This window comes from Homo sapiens, chromosome 1, assembly GCF_000001405.40.
Source record: "Homo sapiens chromosome 1, GRCh38.p14 Primary Assembly".
Lineage (NCBI taxonomy): Eukaryota > Metazoa > Chordata > Mammalia > Primates > Hominidae > Homo > Homo sapiens.
This window is the reverse complement of record NC_000001.11, coordinates 117,621,771-117,634,476: the sequence shown is the minus strand read 5'-3', so window position 1 is coordinate 117,634,476 and position 12,706 is coordinate 117,621,771. Positions and strand designations below refer to the sequence as shown.

The 12,706-nt window shown below is 45.8% G+C and overlaps 1 protein-coding gene across 1 annotated transcript in view, besides 2 other annotated features; it reads right to left on the bottom strand.

Annotated features, from left to right (window-relative positions):
* Positions 3,068 to 3,618: an enhancer, noted in NCBI's record as "H3K27ac-H3K4me1 hESC enhancer chr1:118173481-118174031 (GRCh37/hg19 assembly coordinates)". NCBI's record gives its function as "activates a minimal SCP1, AML or CMV promoter by ChIP-STARR-seq in primed H9 embryonic stem cells {active_cell/tissue: H9 hESC(primed)}" and the evidence as "EXISTENCE:reporter gene assay evidence [ECO:0000049][PMID:30033119]".
* Positions 3,619 to 4,169: an enhancer, noted in NCBI's record as "H3K27ac-H3K4me1 hESC enhancer chr1:118172930-118173480 (GRCh37/hg19 assembly coordinates)". NCBI's record gives its function as "activates a minimal SCP1, AML or CMV promoter by ChIP-STARR-seq in primed H9 embryonic stem cells {active_cell/tissue: H9 hESC(primed)}" and the evidence as "EXISTENCE:reporter gene assay evidence [ECO:0000049][PMID:30033119]".
* The window catches only part of TENT5C (terminal nucleotidyltransferase 5C), a 22,342-nt gene continuing 15,723 nt past the window's right edge, over positions 6,088 to 12,706 (bottom strand). Inside the window, exon 2 of the mRNA NM_017709.4 lies at positions 6,088 to 11,635. Coding sequence (NP_060179.2) covers positions 10,433 to 11,608 — 1,176 coding nt within the window. The 5' untranslated portion in view covers positions 11,609 to 11,635 and the 3' untranslated portion in view covers positions 6,088 to 10,432. The remainder of the gene's footprint in view (positions 11,636 to 12,706) is intronic.

Sequence of the window (12,706 nt, the reverse complement as noted above, 5' to 3'; positions counted from 1 at the left end):
TGGTGGAATATTTGTGACAGAGACCCGCAAAGCCTATGATATTGACTATTTAGGCCTTTGCAGAAAAAGATTGCTGCCTCTGGATTCAGAACAACCCTCATCATGTCCCCAGTAAGTTATTTCTCTAATTGGTTTCCACCGTGGTGGGGTCAGAGACTCACCCGAGCTGATCCCCCGTGGCTGAGCAGGGTCTCTCTCCCTGCCCTCTTTCACCAGGCCTGGACCGCTGACCCTATTTGAAGTCACTAAATGCTCTTCGGGTGGAAGAGGCACTTGTCTCACAGGAAAACACAACCATGTTAGGGACTGTGAGTGTGTCCCAGGTCCAGGGCTTGCATGGTGGAGGAACCTCTGAAACAGCAGCTTTGGAGGGAGGGCACGCCCCTGCCATGCAAAGTCCTCTTTGTTGATCAACACCATTATTAGAAATGTGCACATCCCAGCAAAACCAGCAGGTCACACATTTACAAAAGTGCCTGCCACACTAGAGCAGGAGGGTTCTGGGCCTTTTCAATGTGCAGATTCTAATTCCTGGTACAGGGAAGTTGCTCAGTGAAAGGACAAAATGACTTCAGTGTATAGAGTTTGCCACAGTCCTCCGGAGCAGTACCTTTCATTCTCTGCTTACCCTCAGCAGAGGAGTGGGAGAAGTGGGTCTGAAGTTCTGGGGAACTTCGGTGAGTTGGCAATACCTCAAGAGTGAGGCTAATGGGTTGCTTAGTAGGAATTATGATGATATTGCAACCCACAGGCCAATGGGCATCAGGGCAGTCGGCCAGGACAGAGCACTGGCCAGTGCCCTAGGCTCCCAGCCCAGCAGCTGGACACGGTCCACACTGTCTTGGCGCCAGGTGTGAAACTGCCAGCCCAGGCAGCTGTGCAGGCTGTGGTGTGTTGCTCAACCTCTCTGAGCCTTAGTTTCTCTTCCGTTAAGTAGTGGGTGGAGTAGGGAGAGAGACTACTGCCCTTAGCTGGCAGGGCTGTCACGAGCATCGTGAAAGTGTGTATCATGCCCTTAACTGGCCTCTTTAGGTCTTAATAAATTGTAGCCAGTGTTTTTACTTCCTGATGTCCAGCAGAACCAAAGAATCTGTGGCACACATATGTTAATGCTTTAAATACCACTTAAGACATTTCTCTTAACTCCCAAAGCAGACTGTAAACTCCTCTAGAGCAGAGGATATCAAGTAATAGATACCGTCTACGGGCACCCGGTACTGGGCTTGGAGCTTTATTAAAAAAATACCTGGCTTTCCTAATTCTTAGGAGCCCCAAAGCCGGCATCATCATCACCTGCATTGTACCCACAAGGGCACTGGGCTTGGAGCGGTTTATGCAATCACAAGGGGAGCAGAGGAGCATGCTGAGCTGGAGTCTCCAGCTCCAAAGCTCCAGCTCTTCTGCCCCACTGCCTGTCTGTAAAGGGCTCCTCACTTTGAATCCCTTGAACCCTACTGGGCACCAAACTGCCACTCAAACAGCAAGCCAGAAACCTGGCCACAAGCCTCTGGTTTAATGTTTCCTAAAGGAGGGACTGTGCCCGATTCAGCAGCATCCAAAATTCAAAAGGCAAAGTCAAAGAAGAGTTCATTTCCTTTCAGTAATATCTAAAGTAGGATGGAAAATAAGCCTGCTGAAAAGCTGCCTCTTTTGCCAGAGCTAGAGAGAGAGAGGGAGCACCTCTCCTGCTGTTCCTGGTCAGATCAGGTGAAGGCCAAGGAAACTGATCTCTCACGGTAGGGGGAGGGGATGAAGGGCACAGGGACAACAAGGTACATGCAGTTGACTTAAGAGCAGGGAAAAAACCACAGAGGAATGTTTTGTGTGGGATCCTGAGATAGCAGGGGATATGAGGACCAGAGGCTGCCGCAGACCATTCACAGCCACCCAAGCGCTGCTTCTCCCAGGCTCCCGCTTACCTGAGCCAATGTAAAGATTCTTTTCAAAAAAGTCTTTGCTAGCTGTAGTGTTTATTTAAGGATAAGATGACCCAACTTCCACTATATTTAGTGCATGAAAAACCACAGGTGTTTGACTCCAGGAACTGCTTAGGGTTGTGCTATTAGTTTTCTGACTCCCCTCCCTTCTTGGTTTCATTGTTTCAGCATTGCAGGTGAGCTGGTTTCCTGACTTCTGCAAAAGCCCTCCTGCACTCCCCCGCCCTCCTCTCCAGCCTGCAGGTAGTTTAAATACCCCCATAGTACATGGCTGCCTGGATAAGGTGTGGGGGAAACTGTGATGCTGTTTCCATTTCAATTCTAATTTAAAATGCCATGCCAACCACAATAGGCACCCTATTTTAACTTCATCAGTTGGCTTAATTTTTAATTTTAACTAATCAATTTAATCAGTGGCTTTGTCCTCCTCCTCATTCCTCTTGAAAGGCTTCTGTTGGAAGGCAGGATATTTGCTCTCCCGTGCCTCTTCCATGTGCCACCCTGTAAAATGCAGGACAAAGACAAAATAGCATACTGTAAAAGAACTGACAGCTGGAGCCTGGGAGTCAGACACCCCAGAGCCAGGTGCTGGCTGCAGCAGCTGTATGACGTTTAGGTTTCCTCACCTGTAAACCTAATCATCCTATCTCAGACTTTTTGGAAGATTAAATGCTAATGCTTAGCATGGGACCTGGTGCTCCATGAGCATTCCCCAAACATGTTAACGAGCCTGCAATGGGTCCCCCCACACCTGATTCACAAAGGGAGGGTTGTCTGAGGAAAGCTGCTGGTTTGTCCAAGGAATTCCTTTCCTGGATAAGTGGAAACGGATCTATTACCAGGCAACTCAACACCTCTTAGGCCCTTGAGAGGGGGCTGACATAAAAACTAATATTTGCAGGGTGAGTTATAGTTTACAGAGTGTTTTCAGTGTTGTAATAGTGGGGGAACCAGGCTTTGCAGTCAAATCTTTGTGCATGGGCTCTGTCTCTTACAAGATACGTAACCCTGGGCAACTCAGAGGCGCACTGAGCCTCTGGCTCCTGTGTACAGTGGAAACACTGCTACCTAGCTCACGTTTCTGAGACCTGCAAGCTATGTATATGCAATGTGTACTTGGTCAACCTAAAGCCTTAGTCTAAAGTGAGGAGTTCTCATTCCATTTTCTCATGGGTTTAGTTCCCAACAGGCCTCTTGAGAAAAACCTCATTTACTATCCATATGGAAGGGATGGATTGAAATGGCTGAAAACAGCCTGGCCAAAGTTGCTGTGGTGCTGCCCGTCTCCATCTCTCTCTCTCTCGAACACTATAGCCTCGGATACCTTTTTTCCAGGGAAGCACCCGAAAGAAAGGCAGCGACTCCAGCTTCTCATGCCTTTCCCTTAGGGACATTTCCCATTTTCGGAAACTTCCTAAGTAAAAGGTGGCCCTGGGATGGCCTGCTGTGGTGAAAATGCCCTGAGCTGGGAGACCTGTGATCCAGTCATGGCCAGAACAGGTAGCCTGCGTTGCTCTGAGCTGGGTGAGGAATGGTATGAAACCAAGCCTCCCGACAGGCTCCAGCTCCCTAGATTCTGGGCGGCACTGACAGAAACCTGCTTGAGAGAGTGATGACAGTCAGAGTACTGAGGAGTGGCTCACCGCCAGGGCAGCACATGCTTCTAGGTAGCATTTATCCCCAGGGAAGGACACAGTCCCGTGTTGCAGAAGGCACAGGGCCAGGAGGCAGGAAACCAGCACCGTGGCCCCAGGTCCAATGCCGTCACTTCGGACAGGAAGTCGCTTGACTCAGCTTTTAGGCAGGGAGCAGGGGTAGACCACTCAGCCCAGTCTGGGCACCACCCCTGACTTGCCTCTGACTCCACCTGCCATAAGTGCATACGGAGCTGAAGGCCTCTGGAGAGGATGAGGCTCCAGGCCAAGGTAAGGTGGCAGAATGGCACCATCACACTGAGGCTCTGGCTGCTCAGAGGTCATATGGAAAACCCCCACAGGTCCTGCTGATGCTCTCAGCATCTTCCAGCTGATACTAACCCCAGATTACAACCAAGCGCATTACTATCCCGCCCAGGCGACTACTCGGACAGTGAAGGAGAAAAAGAATCCCCGCTCGTTTAGAAGTGTACTTCTGGAACCCTAGAGGTCCCGGGTGGCAACGACGGGAGCTTCATTCCAAGGCTGAGGAATGAACACTTGGGGATGGCATGAGAGGAATTCTACTAAAACACCAGAAGGATAGGTCTGCCAGGAGGACTGGGTGGGTGGGGAGTTTGAAATAATACTGCTGAGCGTGAAGACTGCAACCCTTAGTACTGACCTTGCTCAGGGGCCAAGAGCTTGTGTTCAATTGTGTTAGTGTCCGGGACATGACTACTCATTCCAGGAAGCTGGGCACCAGCACATCCCACACAAGTTGTCCTGCGTATAAATATTGGTCTGGACAAGGGGACTGAAATGGTTTCTGGCACCAAAATGAGGCATTACAACACATTCAGGTAAATATCCAGGATTCAGCCTCTAAGTGGCTAATGGCCCAAGGACAAGTCCTCCAGGGAAAACCCATCCAGTTCAACATTTGAAGCACCAAATCTATGCCAGTTATGTGAAAAGTGGGCAGAGAATGAAGCACGCAGGTGTTCACAATGTGGGTGAAGAGCTGATGCAACCCAGTAAGAACACGAATAGAAAAAGCAGGAAGGGGGAGGTGGCAGACATAGGGCCTGGTAAGCCAGAGGAGGTGAGGATTAGCTGAGATTTTAGAAGCCTGCTGTGGGGTCACGTGCACGGAAGAAGCTGTGTGCTCCAGAACTCCAAGTAGGCCAGCTTAGTATAGTAGGTCAAAGGATAGGAAGGTAGACTGGGGCTAGCTAGCTCCAGACATCTGCTCTTGCACAGACATGTTGAGTCTGACATCTGCTCTTGCACAGTAGGGTCTTACACAGGTTTTAATGTATGGGAGGGGCCCAGGCACATCTGTTTTAGAAAAAGCCCTTGACAGAGTCAAGAAAAATAGAGACAAGACTCATGAAATAGCCCAAGCAAGAGCTGAAGGCAACCAAGAGGGCAGAGTCAAGGAACATTTCAGAAGGTACACGCAGTAAAAATGGGGAGGAAGAAGATCGTGGGGATGGCTGATGGGCAAGCATAAGATCAGAAAATTGCTCTTCAATGATCCCAATTCTTGTAGTGAAAAGAGAAGAATGTCACCCCAGCCTTCATGAACAGTTCTAGATCCAGACAGTGTCTAACCGATGTGAGTAGATGACTAGAACAGAGGTAGTCCATCATAAAGCTAAAGAGGCCACTGACATGGATGTGGATGGGCAGAATGAAGGGAGGAGTGAAGAGGCAACATGGAGAGTGTGAGCTGGCAGTCAGGGCTTAAGAGGAGTGAGGGTTACTTATTGAGTAAACATGCCAAAGAAGTGATTGGAAGGACTCCACACCTACCAGACTCCAGAGCATGCACATCCTTGGCTGAAAGGTTTGAGGAGGAGCAGGGACAGGTGGAGGCAAGGGGATGAAGGATTTTACACAGCCAAAGACATAAGTTTCATGAGGACAGTTAGGAGAATGCCATAGGATTTCAAAGAAATTCCACAAAGAAGGGAGGCCACGGAAGGGGCAAGACTTGGGGTGGGCAGGGGTTGTTGTGAATTAGATCAAAGGAATGAGGAGGAAGGTTGCTAACCAAAGTCTACAGCATCTCTTTATACCCTTCAAACATCTATCAACCACTCCAAGTATCACTTGTTCACTTCTATACTTCTTTAAAAATGTGAAGAAACTACAGTAGTTGTACATGTATGGCTGAAGTTGTTTTCTTTGTTGTTGTTGAAGTGGGCTAGGAGCTAAAGGGACTGAATTAAACAAGGTGCCAGCAAAGGCGAACTGCAAGACTACACCTGCCGTGGGTATTAGCTGAAAGGCTGTGGTCAACAACGAAGCCTAGTTTAAGTTAGCTGGGCACCTTGAAAAAGAGCCCAAATATTAAGGGATTTGTGGTCTCCAAGGTAACCACACAGCCCTCCCCCCTCAAAAAAGCATCTGTCCTTCAGAGAAGCATCCAAGGCTGATGTTGACAGCTTCCTATTTCTATTCAATGTTTCCTAAAACCTAAAATTCATCATTGAGAAGAAACAAATCAATGAGCATAAATGACAAGTTTTATTTAAATTTTAAATATACCTTTATTTCTCAAACTCAAAGCTTTATCAAGTTCTAACACATTTTGCATTGACAAGTGATTTTATCTGCATCAAGTAAGGTTAGTGACCACCACGAAAGAGGAATCCCCAGACCTCCTAGGCACTAAGAAATATTTCAAAGGCTATGCAAATATAGAACAAAAAGCTTTCAATTTAGTCTAATTGGTATCTATTTTTCATCTATATTAATTTGGAAATAAGTTGCTACCTTAGAAAAATTACATTTTTATCCATTAAAATAAAACACCAGATAGGTTGAGTTTTTTTAAAAACACCCACAGATCTGTATTTAGCTACTTCCTCTTTAGTAGATGGTCATCTCACCTTCCTATGCAAACACACACAAGAATTTGCACCAACTCTCACTAGCCCAGGCAAAACTCCAAGCATTTTATTTAGCTTACACTTCAATTATTTTTTTAAAGTGATAGGTAAACAAGATTTAGGCACTTGAACACACACACGCACACACACACACACACACAGTCTTTTATTTCCTGATCTTAACCTTAGAGTTCTCCACAAATAATCCTGAAAAGTTGCCAGATCTTTAAAAATACCTCTCCTCAACACCGCCCCCCTCCCCCACGACTTGGTCCTCTGATTTTAACTGGTTGAATTGGAATATGTTCCAAAGCGAGCTGTGAAATTCTAGTCTCTGCAAGATTAAGGATGTGAATCTAACCTTGGAAACTGGATTCTTACAAAGTCCACCCAGAAGGTTTTCCCTGACACAGAGCCCTGGTCCGACACCCAGGAAGGAATGGCCTCTATGAGCGTCAGGGTCTCGTCTCACCATTGGATAACTACTTTGCTCTCAAAAAGAGGACATTTGAGCTAAGAATATAGCTGTATCCCAATACAAGGCACCAACCAGTACCAGAAAGTAAACTACAAAGGAGTTATTCCTCAAGTTAGGAAGTTGCTTTTGAGTGGCACCATTTCCCAAAGTCAACAAAGCAGTACTAGTTAAAATCCTGACGTACCATAAGGGTAAGGGGTTAGTGCAGAGGTGAAGCTGAAGAATAAGCAGATTCAGGGTTTTAGCAATTTGATTATTAATGTGTCACCACAAAACACAAGTTCATACACAGCTTGCTGTGACTCAAACCCCAGTGAAAATCAAACTGGACAAAAACTGAAATGCCAAACTACATCTGTAGCATCTATCAGGAACTAAGCATCATCTTCCTTACCCAACTCACCCCATCTGCCAGGTCCCCCAGGTGTGGGCCATCCCACAGGCATCCCCATCAGGAACTCTGATTGGAAGGCATTAGTAATAGAGTTCAGTTTCAGCATTGAAATTATTGAATGAGGAATAATGTGTTACTGCCAAGGTAAGATTTAAAGGGGAGACTAGAGCTCAAGGTCAGGCATCTAGTGCGTGCTATTCTGCCAATGTGAGAGGAAAAGGTACTGTCTTCATCTCACTGATGCTCAACCTGACTCCAAGCAGCAGGCTAGGAGAACAGGCTGCAGACATGCCGAAAGCATCAGAAAAAGAGTCAAATCAGAGTCCCGAAACAAATAAGAGACTGCTTAACTTTAGATTAGAACTTGCATGTGAACTTCAGTGCTCTCTGCTACTGCCAAGTTTCATGTTACTCAACACACACACATACACACACACATAAAATAGGAACCACTGGACTCAGTATAAGCTCAGGGTACCTGGTGCTTGTGTGAGCATTAGGAAAGGCAGGTTTCAGCTAGAGTTTCCAGGGCCCTGAAATTCAAGGTTACCTCGCCTATTCTGAGGCTGGCAAAAGGCTCATAGAGCAAGTAGAGACATCACTAGCCCAGGGGTTGTGTTTTAAAAGTACAGCTTTGGTCAGTGCAGCTTTTAACCCTGATAGCTCTTGAATAGGTCTATTCTCAAACTACAAAAAGATCTGAGCTGACTAAAAAGGTCAGGTGAAGGGACTCCGAGACAACCATGGTGCAATGGTGGCAAAGACTGGGGACTGGGTCTTTCTCGCAACTTCTGTGCCTCCTTTCATTCTCAGAAGAGGACTATTACCAGATGGGGGGGAAAAAACATAAGCAGAAAGAACCCCAAGGACAAACTGGAAATTTAATTCCTTGATGCAGATCTTATCTTCATCTGGTGCCTCATTACCCTGGGCCCCAAGCCTTCTAAGTAGAAGAAATACTGATTTCTGTTAGGCAAGTGCTTATGTTGGTGGCTTCATCACATTTCAAAGCTTTGGTTAAACACATCGGTCATTTTTGTGCAAACACATGCCATTTGACCACCATGGCAGCTTTTTAAGGTCATGAATGACCAGATAGTTTCCAAAGTTGGGATCACTCTTCATTGGGGTTCACTCTTCATTGCCCCACTCTTAACACTGAAGCACACTGGGTCCCCTCAATTAGAACCGGCCTTGACTCAAAGCCACTGAATTAAAATATAACTAAGGCTCACAGGGAAACAGGAGCTGATTACACTAAGAAGTGGCTTCTAGTCACCTAATGTAGCACAACATAGATACCAGCTAAGCCTTGAGTTTCAGTCATGGCTGATCTGCTTTTAAGAGGACCAAGACATCACATTCCAGAATAAACTTGAAAATATACTTTTAGAAAAAAAGGTAAACCACTCATTTTCTACTAAGCTCTTTTGCATTAGGATAACTTCACTGCTTAAAGCAAGGAGAAAACAATCACTCCGGGCTTTGGGTTTTCATAGCCAAAGGAAGGGGGAAAAAAAAGATCAGGAGCATGAATTTGATTAAATCACTTTAGAACCCAAGCTGGCTGGCAATATTGAGTGTCTCTGCCCTGAAGTGATGCTTTCTAAGGGATCCCACAAAACATTTCAAAACACATAATCTCATCTAAATCTACTGGAAAAAGCCACAGTAGCCTAGAACTCTCTCATCTACTAAGCTTTCTTTCAACTACAGATTAACACTGTTTTTCTTCTAAAGTGCAGAATTATAAACAAGTCAAATCTACCAGAATAAGGAAGAGCATTCTCATTCACTCAATTCTTCCCAAATATACTGGAATGATTTCAAAGTGCCTTGGAAGCTCCAATGCACACAAGGCCAGACTTCATGCTAACCCCCCAGCTTCCCCTTCACACAGAGCACGAAGACAGCAGGTTAGATTCTAAAGCAGTTCCACAGGTCACTCAGTTCTACCGAAATTCCTGAATTGAGTTGCTGTCAAACACACCTGGAGAAGGAAGTCACTATTTTTGGAAAAAAAAAAAACGAAAAGAACAAAAACAAAAAATAGCTAAAGTACTCCAGAAGAACAGCTGTGTCATACTTGGAATGTGACCAAAGTGGGTTTCCAGTTAAAACATGGGAAGACCCTCATGTCAGTTACCACAATGACTCTGGACTCAGCACAATCCTCAGTCTTAGGAAGAATAAAACAAAATTCAGCCATGAAAGAGCTGATGAGGAAAAAAGAAAAAAAAGGCAGGGAGCCATTTAATAAGAATTCTTTAAAGAAAAAAATGAACATTCATGTTTCCTATTTACAATTATCCCCTTCCACTACCACCACCACAATTCTAATTAAACATTATGTTCCACATTTTATTTTGTTTTCAAGTTACATTTCAAGAAAAGGTCATTTTTTTTTCCCCTCAGCAATATCTCGCAATTCCTCAGGATAGTACAGCATGTAAACCATAAACCACTTTCAACCAGATCTCAATTCTCCAGCTATTGGCTTTGGTTTATTGATGAATGACATTCTCCACTCCGCTGACAGGGAATAAACATAAGCAATTTAGTCCCTTGAACAAAAATTAAGTCACAAGAGCACCCTCATGTTTACCATTTTCTGCCTGACTAAAATTGGTACAAGAGAAGAGATTATCAGCACAACTTTCATGTAACTGCTGAGAATCCCAAGTGAGGGCCAACACAGCCTACCCGGGCTCAAGTGAGAAAACAAGTAGCTTAGCACTTCTCACGCGCTGCCCAAATTCTCCCAATCTCGATTACTGCACAGAGCTCAACCCCCACGTGCTAATGTTTGGGACATGACATGTTAGTGTCTATCTTGGAAAGATGTGGATAGGTCATGCTTCCTGTAGCGTTTTCCAACGTGGCACTGTAATACGGGTCCTTTGAGGGTTGGCTCATGATACACTGTAGACCCATTCCAATGGGTACACAAAGGAAAAAAAAAAAAAAAAGCAGAATCAGAGCTGAGTTCCCCTTTAAAAGCCAAATGCCTACATCTAGAAGGAGGCTCCCCTACCTGAGAGCCCTAGCCCTATTGGGGTTCCCACTGTGGAAACCCTCAGGTCTCAAGGTTAGTTACAGGGCAGCCAGGTAGGGTAAGGCTGGCTGTAGGTGACTGGAGGATGGGCAACGTAGTAGTTGCTGAAGTTGCCATCACTGACGTAAGGGGCCGGCTGGTAGTAACAGGTGACGTTGGTGGCACTGGGGATGATGTTTTGTTCCGCCAGCACACGCAAGGCCAGGAGGGAGATGAGGTTCAGAGTCTGCCTGCGTTCATGCCCCATGAGACACACGGTGCTCTCGTTCACCACCCTGCGAAGGATCATGAGGTAGTCGTACTTGCTTCTCTCTTCTTCAGCGAAGTGGTTTTGAAGGTAAGTCTCCAACTTCCTCTGCTGTTCAAGGATGTCCGGGAAGTCGATGAAGAACCTGGAGCACATGTAGCGCTCTAGAGTTTTGATTTCTTCCTGGTCTGTGGGCCTGAAGTCCCGCACAAGAAGGTTGCTGTACTTGAGAAGTCCCCCGCCTCTGATTTCTTCTGGGTTCTTGGTGGCGATCAGTCTGTTCTGCAGATGGTCAAAAGCTTCCTCAAAGTCCCCGTACATGCTCTCCCCAATCACGGTGGGGTGGAAGTGCTCAGAGATGGGATTATTGGAACAGTCATAGAAGAAAAGCAAAGAATCCAGGATGATTTGGAAAGAGTCCACACTGAACTCAAACTGACGCCGAATGGAGTCGACAAACTTCAGCTCCACGTTCTTCCCGTTCTTGTTGGAGAGGGAGATCAGGCTCCAGCGGTCAGTGTCCGTGCAAACCTTCACTAGCTTCTGCACATATGCCTCCTTCAGAGTGACTGGACTGATTTTGAGCTTGTTCACACCCTCTGGCAGGAAGTTCAGAAGGGAACACAGAACCACATCTCTAACCAGCTGAAATTCTGCCTCTGTTGGAAGAGCCACATGGAAGATTAGGTCCAGGTCTTTGCAGCCCAAGCCATTGTCTTTGACCAAAACGTGGCCAGCTGCGGAGCCATTCAGCCGGACGTCGTGCACTTTGATGCCTGCCTCCTCCAGCCGACTGCGGACGGTCTGGACGATGTCCTTCAGAGTTATCTCCAAGGTTGGAAAGTTGCCTCGTCCGTGGATAGGTACAACTTCAGTGAGGACCTCATGCAGCCGGCTAACCTGATCCCAGTTGAGCACGCTGAAGGACATGCAATCCCTGGTACAGCTGCTCTCCTCTGCCATCTTCAGGGGATGTTCTGGCTGGGGAAACTGAAAGTGAGGGGTGAGAAGCAGAGTTAGGATTCACTTCTACATGGCAAAGCAGCTCGAGGAACTCACACTGTTTAATCTCTGAACATCTTCCTGTAAAATGGTGATAAATAGCACTTACTGCTCAGTGTTGCCATGAGGACTCAATGAGTTAAATATGTAAAAAACAGTGACACTGCAGAGAAGGACAAAAACACACAAACTCATTCTCTATTACTTTAGATTATTTCATAGTTTTGTTTTGTTTTTTCTGGGTAAGGGTGGAGTGTGCTGAAACGGAGTGTGTTTCAAATGTTCTGAAAACAGAATGTGAGCAAACCATATAGGACCGCAGTAGAATTAGTTACTCCTCCAGCTTTCTGGCTCCCTAACCACATCTCGACCTGGTTGACACCTAGGCTGAAGGTGTCTTATAGTGAAAAAGAGAATGTCTACATTCGTCTAGGCTACAACATTCATACACAGAATATACAACACACACAGACACAGACACACACACACACACACACACACACACACACACACGACTTCCTTCACTCCACAAGTAGATGGATTCTCAACTTTGGGCTACAATCTCACCAATAAGTGGGAATCCATCCCCTTCTACTAGAATAAAGTATATTCCCTTAGCAAAATTCCCATGTTCCTTTCATTTATAGGAGAAGTCTATCCTAACAAGTACTTGTCATCTAGGGTAGAACCAAGGAGTGGTTTTTATGACAAAATTTCGAGTCAACAAAAAGTTAGGTCACCTATGTAGTGGAACCACTCTTCCTAGCAAGGATGCCCAACACAGGACATGGCCAACTTCCCCCGGGCAGTGTGCGCCTTCAAGTGTACTTGGAAAACAATAGTACCTTAAAGCTACCCGAGGAGAATAAAGTTGGCAATGAGTACTAGGAGAAAAACACCACTTCATCTGCTAGGACCACAAAGTTTCCCAAGTAATTTTCAGCTATGTTATACTTACCAAAAAATAAAACACAATGGATCCCTGGAAATCCTAATATATAAAAACAAATACTCATATATTAAAATGTCAAGGTGCCTGTAGAGCCACGAGTCGAATAT